Source organism: Homo sapiens, chromosome 6 (assembly GCF_000001405.40).
Source record: "Homo sapiens chromosome 6, GRCh38.p14 Primary Assembly".
NCBI classification, from domain to species: domain Eukaryota; kingdom Metazoa; phylum Chordata; class Mammalia; order Primates; family Hominidae; genus Homo; species Homo sapiens.
Window position 1 is genome coordinate 157,147,026 of NC_000006.12, and position 20,195 is coordinate 157,167,220.

Genomic DNA, 20,195 nt, shown 5'->3' on the forward strand with positions numbered 1-20,195 from the left:
GAAATGAATGAATTCATTGGTGCAAAGCACTTAACCAAGTGCCCAGCACACACTGTGGTTCAGCAGCTGTTATGATTGAAGTAGTATCATGTGTACCTTTGATTTACTTGAATCTATCTACACACAATCAAAAGGTGTGAAAGGAAAGGGAAAACAACTGCCATCCCTCACCCCCGCCTCCGGCCCTGCCCTCCGTCCCTCACCTCCGACCCTGCCGTCCGTCCCCCACCCCAGCCTCCGACCCTGCCCGCCAGCCCTCACCCCCGCCTCCGACCCTGCCCTCCGTCCCTCACCTCCGCCTCCGACCCTGACCTCCGTCCCTCACCCCCGCCTCCGGCCCTGCCCGCCAGCCCTCACCCCCGCCTCCGACCCTGCCATCCGTCCCTCACCTCCGCCTCCGACCCTGACCTCCGTCCCTCACCCCCGCCTCCGGCCCTGACCTCCGTCCCTCACCTCCGCCTCCGACCCTGACCTCCGTCCCTCACCCCCGCCTCCGGCCCTGACCTCCGTCCCTCACCTCCGCCTCCGACCCTGCCCTCCGTCCCTCACCTCCGCCTCCGGCCCTGCCCGCCGTCCCCCACCCCCGCCTCCGACCCTGCCCTCCGTCCCCCACCCCAGCCTCCGACCCTGCCCGCCAGCCCTCACCCCCGCCTCCGACCCTGCCCTCCGTCCCTCACCCCCGCCTCCGACCCTGCCCTCCGTCCCTCACCTCCGCCTCCGACCCTGCCCTCCGTCCCTCACCTCCGCCTCCGGCCCTGCCCTCCGTCCCTCACCTCCGCCTCCGGCCCTGCCCGCCGTCCCCCACCCCCGCCTCCGGCCCTGCCCGCCAGCCCTCACCCCCTTCTCCGACCCTGCCCTCCGTCCCTCACCTCCGCCTCCGACCCTGCCCGCCCGCCCTCACCCTCGCCTTTGACCCTGCCCGCCAGCTCTCCTGCTGCCGTGTGCCGTGCTTGTGCTGGGACAGTTTTCCGAGATGTGGCAGCCAGCACAAACCAGCTGCTCGATCTGGTACTCAAGCAAAAAAAGAAAGAAAGAAAGAAAAATATTATTCCCAACTTAGAGGAAAACTGGGGCTCATGTCAGGTTCCCGCGTGACACCTTCCTGTGGGGTTTTAAAGGATGATTTTGACCATATGTGCATGTCGTCTTACACGTTGTCTTTTTGAGCCCTTTCACATGACTGTTGAAGGTAGCAGTGATCTAGTGGTGTGATCTCAAGAGTGGTGCTCACCATTTTGGTTAAAATATAAGAATATGTGGTGTTGAATGGATTGAGGCAGCACTCGGTGTCCCTTGCCTATTCATAGGGTTTGTTTTTTGTTTTTTTGTTTGTTTCTTTTTATGACCAGCCTGAATTTCTCTTCATCAGTGCAGTGGTCCTCTGGGGCTGTCTGTATTTGAGTCACTCTCTGAGGGCCTGGGAGTGTGCAGAGAGAGCATGTTTGAGACTGGCAGCTGCACCAGCAGCAACAGGAAGGGCCTATAACGGTCATGACTAATACTCCGTGCTGATCGCATTGTTGGACAAAAAGTATTTCCAGTGAATGTTGTCACAAGTTTAAATAAAAGGCTTTACTTTGTGTTTGCTTTTTGTTTAGGTAACTACTCCAGACCCCCAGCGTATAGTGGGGTGCCCAGTGCAAGCTACAGCGGCCCAGGGCCCGGTATGGGTATCAGTGCCAACAACCAGATGCATGGACAAGGGCCAAGCCAGCCATGTGGTGCTGTGCCCCTGGGACGAATGCCATCAGCTGGGATGCAGAACAGACCATTTCCTGGAAATATGAGCAGCATGACCCCCAGTTCTCCTGGCATGTCTCAGCAGGGAGGGCCAGGAATGGGGCCGCCAATGCCAACTGTGAACCGTAAGGCACAGGAGGCAGCCGCAGCAGTGATGCAGGCTGCTGCGAACTCAGCACAAAGCAGGTACGCCACCCAGGAGCACGCCCCGGGCAGGTACGCTGTGTGTCTACCCGTGACCACGTGACTGCGCACATAGCTGCATTGTTCCCTGGGGTCACACAGAGCAGTAGAATGTCACTGTGCTTGGCCGTTCTTTTTGTGTTAAATATATTCTGTAGCATCGAGGTCAGAGAACTAAGTGACAAACCATGTTTTATGATACATGAGGAAGGAATGTGAGCGGTGAGCACATCAGTCGTGGGAGGTGATTTGAAATGCCTGTGAATAGTCATTGCAGCAGCAAACCAGATCTGGTTGCACAGGGAAGTGTCTGCGTGGTACCAATTGAAGCAGTGACTTTTAAGCAGGAAATACGCTTAGGAACGATTTAAAATCTAAAACATTCAAAAGGAACACACTCCCCACCTTTTTTTCACCCTACCACAAGAATCTTCCTAAAATACAAACTTCGTATGTATACATACGTGTATTGTGTGTTTGTCTAAATGTATATGTGTGAGATTTATATACTTGACATTCTTATGTTATATTTTATTTTTCCAGGCATATCTATCTGTCCAAACCAAAATGTGGTTTAAAAAGCAAATATAATATTTTAGAAAGTTTGAGTTGATAAAAGGCTTTAGCTACAATTACTTACTCATTTTTAATCCCGACTTAAAAATTAATTTTGAAGTAAATACTTGACCTGGATAAAAATAACATAATTAAAAATTTATAAGGCAAAGGTGAATATGTTTTAAAAGCACATGTAAATATGTTTTAAAGCAACATACTTTGAAAGATGTGTATCTTAATGATATCTTCAGAAGCAAAGTAGAAGATTCCGATTTTTGTCAAAGGGAAGCAAAAGCTAAGGTGTGTGTGCGTGTGTGCATGTGTGTGCGTGTGTTTTTAAATGTGTCTTTTGTTACTTTTCCTCTGAAGCTGCTATCTGGGGAATGTGGGACCCCTCCAGTCTTATTGTTTTTTCCAAATAATAATAAATTTCCCTTGAGGAAATAAAATGAAAATCAATCATTATCTTTCTTTCTGTCTCCACATTACAATTACTTAAAATCTTCTGAACTCCAGCAGTCTAGCCCTCTGCCGAACCTACACAGGCTTTAGGGAATATTTTTGTAAACCTGTCTGTGAAAACTGGTTTGGCTGTTGAAATTGAAGTTCTAATTCAAGTTTAAATGAATTGTCCATTGTTGCAACTCATAAAGCGCAAGTTATTTTCTTTTTTTAAGTAGAAAGTATTTGATTGCATTTGGCACGCAGCCTTTGGAGGGACCTCAGAAGATAGCCACAGAGAGCCAGGCCTGATTTTGTGTGGTTACAAAGCTACGCGTGCCCCCTCTCTGAGTCAGTGTTTATGTCATCCTGTAGCAATCAATATATAAATACACATCCATGCATTGCCATTTTCCGTTTCTAATGCGTAGACCATTCCAAAGCCTTGCCTTCAACTTACTGCCCATTTTAGCTCACCAGGAGTTTAAATGGGGGCTGTATATCTTCTTGTTTGCTTTTACCAAAGTCAAAGCTATACTTTAAAATGGTAAATGGAGATTAGAATTGAGAATATTACTTTTCTCTGCCTGTCCCCACCCTTTCGTTGGAGGCATTTTCTGTACCCCCCACCCCTCAGGCAGCGGCAGGATGCAGGGTATTCAACTTGCCTCCATGGTCTGTAAGCCCCGCACCTATGTGTGGGGGTGACAGATATACAGGGCTCATGCTTGTGCATCAGAACAAATCCCAAGAAGCTGTTCTTCTGTTCCACTTTAGGCCACCATACATTAGGTCGCCTGCTTATCCCAGCCAGTCTGGGGCTGGCGGACGCCCCATGTTTTCTTCCCAGCACCCCAACTATGGCAACTCTCAGGCTCCCATGGTGCACCAGCCTGACCAGTACGGGTAGGTAGCAACACACCCCGACTTGCTGCGGGACCTGGGCGTTTTCTCTGAAACTGTTAACGATCGTGCCGTCTGGCCGCGAAAGGAACACCCAAACCAAGAAAGCGAAACACCTAACAGAAAATCCATCTCCAAGGGGGTTGTCCTTCTGTCCATTTTTGTTGGTGTGTTTGTTTCGTTTTCCTTTCGTATTAACAGTACTGTGGCCGTTCGGTGGAAACCCGCATGCGTCCTCAGGCCCTGTCTGTGCATGGCTTTCGGCATGGCTGCTTTCCTTCATGCCTGAGAGGGAAATAGAAACTTTGATCTGTGTCGAAGACATGATGTCACCACCTCTGGCGTCATTTCCCCCATTGTTGTCATTGTTTTGTCTAGGAACCTGTGTTGTGCAGCGCTGTTCTCATGACTATATTATCACTCCTGCTGCTACAGTGAGCGGCTGCCATACCCACCCCCAAATTAAGAGCACAGCATCTCATTTGACAAGAGACTCACTGCAGTTGAGCTGACAGGCTATTCATAGGACTTAGGAGGAGTTTCATTATATCACCACCAAGCAAATGTCTGTGCCAAAAACTTCTATTATTTTTTCTCCAGCGAGTATCAGAATATTGAAGTCACCAGGAAAATACAACAAAATAATCCAACAGATAATTTTCTGTCTAAACACAGTGTTGCCATATTATTCTCAATTTCAACACAGGAATTACATACAGCAACAAAAAGTATCTCTTCTTTCCTACTACAAAACTGTGTAATATCAGGTTCTGTCACCATGTTTAGGTTAGTAAATGCTCTTAAAGTCTATTACTATTGAGTGAATTGCTAAAAAAAATAATTATTGCTATCATCCTGGGCAGACTTAATCATGTTTGGTAGTTAGTTTTAGTAGAGACATGCCCCATCTTTGGTTAAAATCAAACAGGGAACTATCACCTAGCTTTGTTTAAACAGTAAACTTATAGAACTATGCTTTCACTACTGGTTATGAATGCCTGACAGAGCTTTTTAGTAGTTTTATATTCAGTTTACATTTATTTAGACAGAACAAATGATAATTTTGGAATCGAGAGTTCTAAAGTCTGTAAACATGGCCCTAAATGTGGACCAACAAATATAGAATCCTGTAAACATCATCCCCAAAGTGAAATAACAAATATAGAATGAGGTAAACATGGTTATTCTTGGGAAATTGGCTTTTCCTCTTTCTTACTTTCTTGTGGTACCTTCAAGGTCAATTCATGAGTCAGTAGGAAGATAACAGTCGGAGGAAGCAAGCATTCATCATCTGCAGCTAATCCATAGGATCTGTCCTTTTACCAACTCCAGAGGCCTCTTTAGACCCACAAAGCTAGTTTGACTGTGCCTTGCCAAACCACATTAAGCAGCTGTGTAAAATGAATTTAAATGGCATGCATCAGAGTGAAATCTCTTCCACTGGGGCAGAAAATCGATGTTAGCTAACCAGCACGAGGAGATCAAATCTGTATTTCAGCCAGCAGCATCCAGATAGCTTCCTTAGAGTACAACACCTCCTCCTTAATTAAAAATAAGAAAAAGAAAAATGTTGGCGTTATTCTATGTAAATCTTATAAAGCACACTTGGCAAGGGCTCATATTCATAGCCCCATGACTGTTAGCTGTGAATTTTAACTTTTATGTCTACACTATTCTTTCTAAAAAAAGAAAGAAGTTAAGTTTTATTTCTATTTTAAATCTTCCTTCTGTTCACTTCGCAATGCACATAACCTGTGTTGTGCCTTTTTTAAAAGCAGAAGCTTGAATCTGAGAAAACATGTGTATGACATGTTTTAGTGCTCTGGGTTGAGAAATCTGATTTTCAACATGCTTTTGCTTTACTTATTTAACAGCTTGTTGCAGCAAACTCGTGGTTTTGCTTTGATTTTTGTTCCCCCATTGATGGCTCTGTTAGGTTGAAGTTAGGTTGGCGATTAGAAAAGCTAGTTTGCTAAATGTTAGTTTCTCTTTGGGAGAGGAAGAAATGGCATAGTGTGGGATTCACAGAGCTTGTCAGAATGACTTCTTTCTCAAGGCACAATCCCAAAGGACCTAGAGCCCATGGAAGAATCTGAAAAGGACAAATTAATGATGAAGGTGGAGCGTGAGTGAGTGTGTGTCTGCAATTAGATAAAAACAGAATGCTCATTGTAAAAATGAAGGATTGGGGCAATTATGCTTCAGATTTTCTCAGCTGGTCAAGTATAAGATAGTAGAGAGAAAAAACATGCAAGTTTAACTGGTTAGAAACTGTTTTATTAATTTCTTTGAGAGTGACAATATGAAGGTAAAATCGACCTGCTGCATTGAATAAATTAAGAAACATAGATTAATTTTTTTTCTTTTTCACCTTTTGAGTAAATTCCTCATTTTGATCATCAGAGGATTTACAATAGAATCTGGTGAATCTTCTTGTTCACGTACTAGATTCACTGTGCAGTAATATCCAGTCATTTGAAGTTAATGGTTTATAAGTAATATCTGTACAGAACCCTCCTCCTTCTACACACTGATACCCTTTTTATCTGAAAATGCATTGTTGTGTACAGTTTTAAAGCATTGCTAGTTAAGGAATTTACTTTTGAAGATATAAGAAACAGAGAGTTGGAAATACTAGCTGATCTTACTAAAAGCCTACTTCAGGAATGGCAAATTAGTTCCATCCATCTGTAGATCAGTTCTCGTGGCTCTCTGTAGCATCATTTTGGAGGATTCTGAGCCATTACCTGAGCATAGGTGAGCCAAAGTTTGCCAGAAGCTTAGGAAGAACTTTGGCCTACCACTTCCTAAAGAGCATAGCTGTGGATCCCAGGCTAAACACAGGCTTTAATATAGCTCACTACAACCTCAAATTCCTGGGCTCAAGCAATTCTCCCACCTCAGCCTCCCAAGTAGTTGGTACTACAGGCACGTGCCACCATACCTGGCTGATTTTATCTTTACTTTTTTGTAGAGACAGAGTCTCACTATGTTGCCCAGGCTGGTCATGAACTCCTAGCCTCAAGCAATCCTCTCTTCTCAGCCTCCCAAAGTGCTGGGATTACAGGCGTGAGCCACCACTCCTGACCTTGTAACATTTTTTAAATGACTGAATCCATTATGTTTAAAGGCTGTGCGTGCAGATGTGCACAGGTAGAATAACTTTCCCCCATTCATTCCATGTGTCTTACGTCCTTTTATTAGTCCTAGATGGTACCTGGTGATGTCCAGCAATTGACAGCTCTTCAAAATACAACTGATTGTGGATTTGGAAATTTCAGCATTATCCAGAATTTTTTCTTGGAAATGAGCTCTAGGAGGAAGCATGATTTCACTGAATTTACAGAAGATCTCACAAGCCCTGGATCTTTAAGCCAGGGTAGATGGACAAACAGATTTTAATTCCTTAAGGCCTGCTACCCTAGCACCTCACATATATAAATTTTGATCAAGTCTTGAGTGACTTGAGATTGTGTCAAAATTCTGGCAGGGATCTTTAAGCTAATACTGTGTTCATAAGAAGAGGTTCCATAAGGACACAGAGTTTCAATTATAGAATGAGCAGATCTCAGAACTGGGAAGGTTTTAGACGTTACCCAGCCTCTATTTCTTGATTTTATGGTGGAGTCAACAAAGACCTACAGGGTCACCCACTCAGAATCATTGAGTCAGGAGCAGGGTCCTTGTCATCTGGTCCTGTTGTTGTTCTGCTCTTCTGTTTTTTTTTTTGTTTTTTTTTTTTTTTTTTGAGTTGGAGTCTCACTCTGTCGCCAGGCTGGAGTGCAGTTGCACAATATCGGCTCACTGCAACCTCCGCCTCCTGGTTCAAGTGATTCTCCTGCCTCAGCCTCCCGAGTAGCTGGGACTACAGGCACCTGCCACCATGCCTGGCTAATTTTTGTATTTTTTTTTAGTAGAGACGGGCTTTCACCAATTTGGCCAGGATGGCCTTGATCTCTTAACGTCGTGATCCACCCGCCTCGGCCTCCCAAAGTGCTGGGATTACAGGCATGAGCTACTGCGCCCGGCCTGTTGCTCTTCTTTCTACTTTTTTGTTTTGTTTTGTTTTGTTTTGTTACACAACACCTCTTCATTTTTGTTCTCCATCATATCTAGTGGCAATCCTGCTCCTAGAAACCAAATAGTAACGAGTATCTTCGTGGATCTTCCACCTCTTGCATTGAAATCTGGATTTTTTTTCTCTTATCTGAATTTCGTTACCTCTGCTGCACCTAAAAGGAAATACATGCTTTGCACATTCCCATGTAGACTCCACGTGCAGCTCAGAGTTAGATTGTTTCCAGAGCCAAGCGCTTTGTGAGATAAGTAACAGTTACTTACTGGCACAAGGGCGGGTTTGAGTTTCTGTCCTTTTCACCATTTGAGGCTTTTACCAACACTGCTTTGGCATTTAACATTGTTGGGACTGGAGTATGGCTGTTAAAGTACGAATTGTGAATTGTGAATTGTGGGGGAGCAGAGTGGGAAGGTAGTGATATTGACACGGATAAAGGTGCACACCTACATGATGCTGGTATAAGCACTACTGTTCCTTTGCTGTCCCTGAGAGAGCCCTTCGTGGACTAACTGAGCATCAGAAGAAGGAGAAGTCTCAGACTTCTTAATTTCAAAAAAAAAAAAAGGGTAAAATGAATTAATTTGAAAAGTCTTGTTACTCTTGACTAGAAGGGAAGTTTTAATACTGAATATCACAAATATAATTCTGTAGACCTGCATTTTAATACTACATCATACCAAAAACTAGGGTCACTGAAATTAGCTTTCAAATGTTTTGTGTTGAGTCCATTAGGAAATTGGGAACTTTAGTTAAGATTATTAAATCTTAGCCACTCATTAACAGGGTGAATAAATTCCATAGGGTAGCTAGATCAGTGGTAACCCCACCGTATTGCTGTTGGAGGAGCTGAATATTTTGGGAGAGAATGTGACTAGCTGCCTTCCTCTGCTTGGAAGAAGCTGGGTCTATTTACAAATGCAAATGAATTGGACTGGCTTGTTGGGTATACAGTGGCTTGTACTGTGGCTCATGTGCACCCCACATAGACACATCTTCCAGCCACTGTTCTTTATTGAGGTGTATCTATAATTCATATCCTGTGTTGCCATTTGCCAGCAAGGCACTTTTTCTGTGTTATTTTCCTCTGAAGCCAGTATGATGCAATTCTGCTGATGGACGAAGAGCTGCTGATGTGGAAATACGTTAATGGAGATAGTGCATTAAAATGTCAAAGAGAAGGGGCAAAAAACTTCGAAATGTGTCAAGCCCCAGTTGTAGTGGGGTCCATGTGCTAAAGAGCAGGAAGTGATTTGTATTAACCAAGAATCCAGCCCTTTGGATTTTGGACAATTAGGTTTTAACATAATAGCTATGATTTGAAAAGTCATGTTATTGAAAGACAAAGAGAAAAGATTTCAAAGCCTTAAACAGATTTTTTATTTCTGCAATTAAATGTAAGCCTTTGCATTATCATCTAAATACTACGCTTTAATTTTTAGCCCCTTTTTTCTCTTCAAAATTTAGAATTTGAATGAATGTTATTATGTTAGTATTTAAAGATTATGATTTCAATTAAAACTTTTAGAATTACAGAACTATTATGGAAGCCATAAAGTGCATTTATAAATCATCAAATCAAAAAGTAGTAAAACACTAATTCTAAAAGGATCAGAGATTTATTTTTTAATGTTAATGAGAGCCAAGGAATCACAGCATGAACTGTGCAGCAGACCTGGGAGGGACCGGAGACCATGAGGTGCCCCAAGCCACTCGTGAGCGTCACCCAGAGATTTTCGACAGCCGCTGTACACCCTCACCCAGCCAGGGGGCCAAGGCGCGGGAGCCTCAACTCCAAAATCCCCTGGTGGTTCTGGTGTGGAAGCCAGCTCAGGTCTGAGGGGGGCCTCAGAGATAACCGCCACTGCAGAGCACGGAGGCAGCATGGAGTGGGAGGTTTGGGAGGCATGCTCCGGACGCTTCCTCCTTATGCAGTCTTCCTGAGGGACATCACGTGAGGAGCACACAGGGCTCGCACTGGGAGCACTCTGGCATCAGAAGCTCGAGTCTGCGCCGACCTGACCCTGACTCAGGCTCTGGAGATCTGTTGATCATGGCAGAGTGTGTCTTCCTAAATGCTTTGTCTTGATTTCTGCCCTTTTGCTTCCTCTCAGACCTCAGTATCCTCCTCATCCCCTGAAATACTCAGTTCCCCACCACACCTAGCCTGCCCTCTTCATTCGGATATTCCCCTCTCCGGGTCTGGGTCTGGCCCTCTCACAGCTGGTGGCTGTGCTCACTCGGAGATGGCTCACCGTGACTCGCGCACCACTGTCTATGCCACCTGTCTTCACTTCCAGCTTCATGGCTCTGTTAACATCCCGCCCCCATAGATACACACTTACACCAGATGTCCTGGGATCGTCACAGCGAGAACCAGCATTAAAGCGCACCCATCACTAGGCGTCATTAGCAGCCCAGCCCAGCAACCCCCACGGTTCTGAGTTACGAAAGGCAGGGATCTTTGGAATTACGTGTGTGCAACAGGAGTGGCAATGGCCAGTGATGCCAACCTGCCAGGTGTCAGGCTGATGACCAGCAGGTGGTGAATTTTTCACCGCCCTGAAATCTGATAACCTCAACAGTGTTTTGGGCTGAAGGCAGCAGGAAGTTTGTAAGTGGTGAAGAGGCTATGACTATGTCTTAGTATATTGCAGCTTGGGGTTTGGAAAGTGTCGTGGGTCACAGGGCATCTTAGTAGCAGTAAGGAGTATGAGAAGCAACTCACTAAGATGCTAAGATTCCTCTTAATCTTGGTCTTCATTCTTATTTTGAACTCCATTTCTGCCATTATATAGATTTAAAAAACCAAACAGGCCGGGCACAGTGGCTCACGCCCGTAATCCCAGTACTTTGGGCTGCCAAGGTAGGAGAATTGCTTGAGGCCAGGAGTTCACAAGCAGCCTGGGCAACGTAGTGAGCCAGTCTTTACAGAAAGTGAAAAACAGTGAGCTAGGCATGGTAGCGCACACCTCTAGTTCCAGGTACTCAGGAGGCTGAGGTGGGAGGATCACTTGAGCCCAGAAGTTCAAGGTTGTGGTGAGCGAGGATCGTGCCAGTGCACTCTGGCCTGGAGTAAAACAGTAAGACCCTGTCTCTTAAAAAATAATAATAATAACAAAAAATGCACAGACAGAAACCTGTAAGATTGTGGCCCTTGTTTTAAAAGTGAACTCATACTGGATTACTTTTGATTGTTAAAATTCCTGCCAGGTAAGAACCTGTCTGAATCCTGTCCTGCACAGAGTGGCTGGTGAGGACATAAAGAACTATAGCTTTGCTCAGCTTGCAAGCCTTGCCTAAATTTTAACCCTAACTGAACAATGTTTGGCTTTACCAAACTAAGTCACTTTGTGGCCCAGGCCACCGTTAACTCAGGAAATCTCCAAGAATTTTTAGGAGGATTTTTTAAAGATCAGAAATTACTGTTTTTCTGTTTCCTGGACAAGTGCATTTTTTATTAGAGGTTTCTACACAATATTGCTGCAACACAGTGATATAGGATGGAGAACTCAGGACCCAGATTAATTTTCTTAAGCCCACTGACAAGCCCATTAAGGCATGAGAGTTAGATAGAACGCATGTAAGATAGATGTGTGCTTCCCCCTCGCACTGCTAAAACTCAGGTTCGTCCATCAGGGATTGTTACCTACTCTGAGTATTGCTGGGCTGATAAGCTCTCTGTGTCTGAGGCTGTGTGGCTCCAGACCTCTAAGAGACCTGCTCCCTCCACTCTGCTTCTGTGGCTCCTCGGCAGCTAAGCCACTTTGGGATTAGCAGTTCACTCCCCTTTATACCTTGTGACCTTGGAAGGGATGTCCTGGAATAAAGGATGTGGCTATTCCTAGCACTGAGAAGTAATAGCCCTCCTTGGAAATAACAGAGATCTTTTCTTAATGGTACTATGATCTCAAGATAAACTTTTTAAGTAAAGATCCTTAAGTAGAATGCAATAGAGGTGACACTTTCTCTCTGTGGGTGACATCCATGGCAGCTAATGTTTCTTTCATGCTGTATGGATCTAGCTTCACCAGACCAGGAAACTGTGCCATTTACATCTTCTCAGAGGTCAGTGGGATGCGACATGATACCAAACCCCCAAAGTTCTGGAGAGTCATCCATTGCAGGGAAAAGACAGGATTTAGGACCCACTGCTACCCCCCTGTGGCTCTAATCCACACTGTGCGCTTGAGGCAGCCCATGTGCTGGGGATCAGCAGGGAAAAGCTGAAATCAGAATCTCTGAACTAAATACCTTCACAGTATTGAGGTTCATTTTTGTATGGTTGCCAGGAAAGAGTCCGTAGTAGCAGAACAATGGGCTTAACAAACCAAAATCAACTTTGAGGATGAAGAGAACTTCCTTAGTTATCAGTTGCTAAAATTCAAGCAACCAGACAACACCATGTTTGCATTTTCTTCACACCCCGACAAGGAGGCCTCTCGCCTCAGAACCCCTGAGCTCTATTTGTTCTCCTGGTTGCTTTGAGAGAAAAGGTGAAGATCAGTGAGCTGCTTTAGGAACAACTAAAGCTGGTTACCTGCATTGAAGCAAAAAGGAAGAGCTGAATCTTGAAATTGCACAACAGGTGCCATTTCAGCAGGGAGTGCCAGGAGCAGAGCTGGTAACAGGTCGGAACCTTCTGAGAAGTCTGTGTGAAGTATGAACAAAAGGGAAAAACGTTTCTGATGTTAGAGGCTTTTAAGAAATCCAGACTGGAATATGCAGTATTCCTCAGTGCTTAGCAAGAAGAGCTTCACCAAGATGCAGGAGTGAAAAATACAGCTCTTTGGAGAAATGTGGAGACAATCAGGAGAAATGCTTTGAAAACAAGAGGCCCTGTGGGCAGTGCCACATTTTAAAGGACCAGGCAAAGACGTGCCAGGGAGAAGTTCTATTCTGAAGAGCTAAGGCATAGCCACTGAAAATATTATTCTTGAGAGTATGGTGACAAAGTTACTACTGTTCCTTTACTTAGAAGTTCTCTTTCATAAAGCTGTCGCAAAACAATATTCTTCTTTGCCCATTCTTAAAGGAAGAAAATAAAATGTAAACATATCAGCTACCAAAGGTTTTGGGGAGTTATTAACAGGGAGCTGGAAGATAACTGGTAGCTGCTCCAGCTTGTCTGCTAGCACTGAATACATGGAAGCTTTCTTTGAGTGAGCAGGCTGCCTCGAAAACAGGTCACATTCGCCAGTGGAGGAAGACTTAGACAAGACTCACAAAGTCTTATATAGAGGGTTCCTGCATAGGGAGGAAAGATGACCCCAAACCTCTGCTTCCTGACCTGAGAGTCCACCTGCCTGTGTGACGCTAGGTGCTCAGAGGCCTGTCCAAAGCCAAACCCTGTCCACATGTCCAAAACTAAGCCCACGCTTTCCCCTGATGTTCTTTATTTCAGTGACTGCTCCATTATCTGCCCATCCCACAAGCTGGACACCTAGGAGACAGCTAGGCACAACTTTTCTTTTCCCCAGAGGACCTAATTCATCACCAAATCCTGTCCGTTTCACCTCCACGATATTGCTCAACTCTCTCTTGTGCTCCACCACCTGTTCCAGGGCACCATCATTTCTTCCTTGGTTGTGGTAACAGCCTCGTAACGGTCAGCCCCACATTCGTTCTTCTTGCCTCCGATGTGTTCTTCCCAGCATGGCCAGAGAACAATGTCTTTAAAATAAACATATTTTAATGCCATTGCTCCTGCTTAAAAACCCCAAGTGTCTTCCTGTTTCTCTTAGGATAAAGACCAAACCCAGAGAACCATAAGCCTGGCCCCGCACCACTCTCGCTTCTTATTTTGCTCTACCGCATTTTCTCCTGGAGAGGGCCTCCTGGATGCCCCAGGGCCCTTGAATTTGCTGTTTCTCTTTTCTCTTCTCCTTACCTGGTTAATTCCAGTGGATTGATCCCTCAGATCTGAGAGATGGAGGGGACGTCATCCCTTCCTTGGGACCTTTTCCTGTGCTCGCCTTCCTGTGAGCTCACATAACACACAGACCTCTCCAAGCCACGCATGTGGTCGCAACTTCGCACTCGCTGCCCTGGTTGTTTGACTTTGGTTGTGTTTGTTTTTAGTCTTGGCCCGCTGTTGTGCTCATTCCTCTCCCATACTTATCTTAAAATACTCATCTTGGACAAGTGATTATAACTGTCAACAAAGCAGTAGGTATTTCTGGTTAATTGTAATTACTTATAGCATGTCTCCCTGAGCAAAAGGGGTAGAATCTATTTTTTTTAGTAGCATATGGTTATATACTTTTACACGAATCTACATTTTTAAATAAAGGCACTTCTATTCTATGTCTTTTGTCTAATGAGACAAATGCCACTTTACCGCCACAGGATTGATTCCTAGCCAGAGCCACTGGCTTGTTGAAATTACATTATTTTGCCACCAGAATTGCTAATGCAGCTGTTGTTGCAGGCACGCTGGTGGATTAGCCACACCAAAAATTGACCAGGGCTTGACGGTCTTATTTTCTGTTTTGATTGTGTGTGTGTATATATATATATATATATATATTTTGGCGGGGGGGCACATAGTAGTTTTCCCTCTTAAAATATTAAATTTAAAATAACCTCGACTGAGTCTCTCCTTCTCAGTACTGCTTTGGAAGAGTCACCATGTAATTCGGGTTGAAAATCTGTTTCACCAGTGATGCTAGATACATGTGTGAGAAGAGTTTGTGTTTATAAAACATTTTTTATAGGGCATCCTGTGTAATGTTAATGTATGCAATTGGATCTCTCCAGAGGAATAAAGTAACACATTTAGAAATAAACTGCTGGAATTGGAGCATTTCAAGGTTTTGAGTACTGGTTCTGATGACTCTTGGGTTTAAGTGATAAAGTGCCCCAAGTTTTAGTGTTAGCCTAGTTTATGTTGTTAGTAAGCAGTCTTTTCTGGCTTCATAACCCAGCTACATCTACAGTGACAGTCCGTATAGAGAAAGTTATGTACACCTGGCACTCGCACTCATTTTCCCAATAAAGTGTGCACTGCGTGATGCTCATTCCGAACATAACTCAAGGGTGGTATTTGCAGTGGATGTGCTGGAGCTTCCCCCGTGTCTGCCACTGGGATGGGACTTTAAAGTGGCTTCACTCACAGGGTCTCCATTTCTTCTGTCTGTCCCTACCCTTCTCCAAAGAACTGTATCAGAAACCCATTCATTTTAAAGATAACCACACACTTCACCGTCTGTCACTGTTGAGAAAATACAGTGTTGATTGCTAAGATGATAAGGCCTAAATATTCTTCTCTAAAGCATCAAAATTATTTTAAATTTTAATGTAGTTGACTTTAAAACCAGATATTTAGAAAGATGTGGGTACTGCATGAAATTTCATACTAATATTTTTAACTGCTGAAAGCAAACTGTAGTGGGAAGTGATATTCCTCTTTCTGTTTTCACACTGAACCATTGGAAATAGTCGCTTGAAAACTGGTGTTTGCTTTGGGCTTTTTTCCCCAAAGACAGCCCTTTGTTGGGATATGAATATGTAATGTTTGAGAAATCTCCAAAGTGAATAAAAGGAAAAAGTAAAAAAGTTGTTGGGGTATGTATGTGTGCAGCCCGTGGGCAGGAATGAGGAGTGCTGTAGGGAAAACTCACAGGTCCTGCTTTCTCAATTATTCTCCCTGTAATAACCTGGCTTTGCTTATAGAATGACAGTTCTTAAATACCTCTGGTCCCAACCAGATTTAAATAAAGTTCTTCTGGTTATTCCGCAGGTCAGCATGTTTAAGTAATAACTCCCCAATTTGAACATTGCCATTTAAGAGGAGGAGGGAGCGGTGCTGTGGTCTAACCCTGGCCCAGGCGAGCGCAGTGTCGGCATCCTGGGGTCTGGGGTCAACACCACCCAACCAGGGTCACCCCCACAGTGTGCATCTACCGAATTATTGTAAATGTTTGTCTCCTTACCCCCCTGAGATGTTCCTAGGCAGTCATTTCTACAGCCATGGACTCGGCATCTGCAGAGTCAGGACAGCTGTCCTTTGTAACAGACATGAAGCCCGCAGGCCCCCTGGAAGCCAGAGCCCAAGGGTCTGGGGGGAGGCTTTGCTTTTCCGGGTACAGCTTAGGTTTCTGTAGGGTTTCACATTGGAAACATTCTGCTCGTTTCAATTCATGTTTTTGCCTGTTTTTGTTTTGTTGCTTTTCAAAAAAGCAACTGATTTACTTCTTAACACTCCTAATTCATTTGGAGCCGTCCAAATGTTGTGTTGGTCAGAAGGGGCTCAGCAGCCAGGGAGCGCTGCTCTGGAAAGGACCCAGCTGCTGCTGAGGTCGCCTCGAAACCCAGGTCGCTGTGGTCTCGGGCATTGTATTTTCAGCCCCACCAAACAAGGAGCTTTTTGTTGTGAGCCACAGACTCCTCCTAGGTTAGCAACACCACGCTGAGCAGGAGTGCTGGGTTAGTTAGGGCGGCAGCCATCTTAGGAGTCCATCCACAGCCCGCTGTCTCCACTAACCAAAATCAGTGGCGTGCAGTGCGAGCCTTCTTTTGGTATCAGGCCCATGTTGCTTGTTCAAAATTACCAAGACTCTTGGCAGTAGTGTCTCAAGCAAGAGCAAATAGGATTTCCTCTGCAATGGTGAAAGACTGGCTCTCCCCACCCAGACAGGCACCCACTGCTCTGCCCTGGCCACGTGTGGCCTGTGCTCCTGGGAGGACTCACTTCCTGCCCTGGAGGCCCAGTAGGCCTGCAGCAGGTGTCCAGGGAGCTGTTGTATTCATGTCTCCCACTACCCCTCACTGTGGCCAGCTCCCTGAAGCCTGTATTCCAGGACTCCCGGAGAGTTTACACCCTCTGGTTTGTCATCTTTGTACAACCGCAGGGCCATACACCAGACAGATGGAAAGGCATGGTGCAGCAGGCTGCCAGGAGCCAGGCACTTGGTCTCACTGAGTGTTAGCAGTGTTAGAGTCCCATAGAGAAAGAAGTGTAGTATACCGCACTGATAGTAGGTTTGGGGAATTCTATTTCTGCTACTTACTAGCTGTGTGACTTTAGGCAAGTTACTTAACCTTTCTGATCTTTATTGCCTTTATTAATATATGAGCATAATTCCACCTACCTTCCTCCAGGAATCTAAAACATTAAATGTGTATGCCTAGAATGTGCACCAGGCATGCAGTAAATACTAAATAAATTACTGTCACTATCATTACCAGCCCCTCCCTGTTCTGGTGTAAAAAACTGAAATCCAAAGGACCAGAGCTCCCAGAGCTCCAGTGACAGAGTCAAGACCCCTGGCTTTTTAACCAAACTTTTAAAACTACAGATGTGCTTTAATTAAGGACCATTGTAACCAGCAACTGACATCCAAGGCATGGACCTCATTGTTAGTTTAAAGGTATTTCTTAAAACCTGTAGTGTGTGCCTTCATCATCTTCTGGTGATTAAAGATGGACACGGATGGACAGTGCTGTCCTGGGGGAGAAATCCTAGATGAGGGTTGGATGATTACTTCATTCAGTCATTTGCCTGGTGGATTTTCTATTCTGATTCTCTTTTTTACCTTAGTATAAACAAGTGTCTCAAGGAACCATTAGTTTCATACATGTTAGTTACACTATATATGAGACGGAATTTAATGGAAGCTTGAAAAGGCGACCATCTTTGTAATGCCTTTTTTCAAGAATAAAAATGTTCTGTAGTAATTCATCCCTTTAACAATTTTTTTTCTTTTTTTTAGTAATTCTCATGTGCAAGGGATTAATTAGGCCCAGATCCTCCTCTCAGGAGGCTTCCATACCTAGAAGAACCAAGACATGCGTAAATTATTTTAACATACAAAAGAAAGAGGTCAGTGCTACAAAAGGCATAGATGAAGCTAAGTGGAGAGGCAGGGCTTACTTTCAGGAAGGATGACAAGGACAGCCATCACAGAGCAGTGGCCACTAAAATGCATCTTGGAGAATGGGCCAAAATTGGCTGTGACTTGGAGGCAGTCACTGACATGGAAGTAGCCTTCCAGAAAACATAACCGTCCACAAGTGAAGATGCTCTTCAGTGATTGTCTGCTAAGACACTGAGAGCAGTCCCATCAGGCGCCACTTTTGAAGCAGTTACCTAAATGCTCAATTGTCCCTTGTTTGAAGAACACCTCAGAAGGGATACTTCTAAGGTACTTGAGTTAATGCCAACACTCTGCAAGATGATGTAAAGCCCTGAACCATATAGGGATGTGTTTATAGCTACTGTGCAATTGTGTGCATGAGTATGTGATGACCTAGAGGTTAATCAGAAGCTGTTGGATGATCTCAGATCTGTTCTTAATGAACTCCAAGGGGTATTCTAATTCTGATTTAGCAGTCTGCAGTTATTCAAAGTGGACTGTCAGGAAGCTAAGAATTGCAGGCTAAAGTAATGCCCATTTCTCCCTGAGCCACCCTCATACCTAAGAATCTTTCAGCTTCTAACAGTGTTCTTTCCAAGCCATCATGGTACATTAGATTGTACAGAATTTCTCTAGTTTGTCTAATATTTAAAGTAGACCAGTTATGGCTTTGATAGCTTGATTTTGCAGATGGTCCACGTTTGAACTTTTTGTACAGAGGTTTTTCAGTTGAGTCCGCTGAAAATAGGTAAACAAAAGGAACAGTATATTTAAAAAAAAAAATGATTTATGGACCAGACATGGTGGCTCACACCTGTAATCCCAGCACTTTGGGTGGGCATATCGCTTTGAGCTTAGGAGTTCGAGACTGGCCTGGGCAACATGGCAAAACCCCGTCTCTACAAAAATACAAAAATTAGCTGGATGCTGTTGGCTCACACCTGTAGTTCCAGCTATTTGGGAGAGTGAGGCGGGAGAGTCGCTTGAGCCTGGGAAAGCAGAGGTTGCAGTGAGCCAAGACTGCGCCACTGCACTTCAGCCTGGGCGACAGAATGAGACCCTGTCTCAAAAAAACATAAAAATAAAAAAATAAGATTTATGTTAATCTTTTAAAGGATCTCATTTTAAAATGCCAACTATTATACCAAGTGATAGCTTAATGGTGGTGGAGGGGGTTGTAATTAATTTGGAACAGATAGGCAGGGTGTCTTTGGATTTGTACCCCTCTACTAGCTTGTACTCCTAAGATGAAACATGAGTAGCCAAAACTTTGAAAAATTTTTTAAAGGTATGCTCTTTACGTAAGAAGAGCTTGACTACAATGGTGGACTCTTTTGACGCTTTTGCCACCTTGCTATCATTTCTGTTTTTAGGGCAATCTCTACACCACTGTGCAGTTAAAATCTCTCCCCCATCTCGTTACTAACAGTCAGAGAATTGACATTGTGTGACAGTTATCTGCTTCAAATCAGAGAATACTCTTGACCTCTTTGCAAGAGTGAAGAGAAGTCTGACAGGGCGTAAGACAAAACTAACAAGACTAAGTCACCAAGACCGCCTTGTAGGTCTGCACCACCCTGGGGACGGGCGACTGCATGCTAGGGACACGTGCAGCTGATCTAAGTGCCCATCCTCCTCTGTAACGTAAAAAGCCCAACCAACAAGAAGTGGAAGTCTGATGTCTACTGTGGCATTTTAATGTAGGGAAATTGGTATGTTTTTAATAGAACCTAATTACCAAAGTTAAAGAGTAGGGTCGGGGAGAGTTTTGGAAGTGCTTTCTCCCATATTCATTATATCAGAAAATTTAGGTCAAAGAAGTTTTTTTAAAAAACATTCCCACACTGCCCATTTGTTTTTCATTTCTTAACCTTTGGGTTTTTATGTGAGGTTACTAAGTAGTGTTAATAGTCAGAAGTTAATTTTGCTTGCTTTTGTAATTCCTGTTCTTATTTCAAGTTCCCCCTTTCTTGCTTATATTCCTCTATATAAATAATAACCTGGAACACTTGACATGATTAAAAATGTGTAATTTACTTGCAGAACTTGTAATATTTGGAATTGTAAAGGGGTGTATTAAAGAGTTACCTAGCAATAGAATTCAGCCTTTCTCTCCAGGAAATAATCTGTTTTACACAAACATGAAAAGTTATAGCCCCACCCCTTACATAAATGCATTAGTAGAAATGACTGCCAGGGCAAACCACTGCTAATGTGCATGGTCGGTATATGTGTGCTGTGCTTTCTCTTCCTGTAGGCAAGGCAGTTTCCCCGGCATGAACCAGAGTGGACTTATGGCTTCCAGCTCTCCCTACAGCCAGCCCATGAACAACAGCTCTAGCCTGATGAACACGCAGGCGCCGCCCTACAGCATGGCGCCCGCCATGGTGAACAGCTCGGCAGGTAACCTTGGCAGCTCTGCGCTCCTGAGCCCCTCT

At 44.3% G+C, this 20,195-nt stretch overlaps 1 protein-coding gene across 38 annotated transcripts in view, besides 1 other annotated feature; it reads left to right on the plus strand.

Moving 5' to 3' along the window:
• Positions 1–20,195, plus strand: part of ARID1B (AT-rich interaction domain 1B) — a 434,754-nt gene that overhangs the window by 371,000 nt on the left and 43,559 nt on the right. For 24 of the 38 annotated variants that reach the window (NM_001371656.1, XM_017011104.2, XM_017011106.3 and 21 more), the window contains 2 exons: positions 1,599–1,926; positions 20,015–20,160. In NM_001371656.1, coding sequence (NP_001358585.1) covers positions 1,599–1,926; positions 20,015–20,160 — 474 coding nt within the window. Of the gene's footprint in view, positions 1–1,598; positions 1,927–3,699; positions 3,829–20,014; positions 20,161–20,195 lie in introns of all 38 variants that reach the window. The other 14 variants (XM_011535984.3, XM_017011105.3, XM_047419135.1 and 11 more) reach the window with 2 other exon arrangements.
• Positions 3,281–3,781: an enhancer, noted in NCBI's record as "H3K4me1 hESC enhancer chr6:157471440-157471940 (GRCh37/hg19 assembly coordinates)". NCBI's record gives its function as "activates a minimal SCP1, AML or CMV promoter by ChIP-STARR-seq in primed H9 embryonic stem cells {active_cell/tissue: H9 hESC(primed)}" and the evidence as "EXISTENCE:reporter gene assay evidence [ECO:0000049][PMID:30033119]".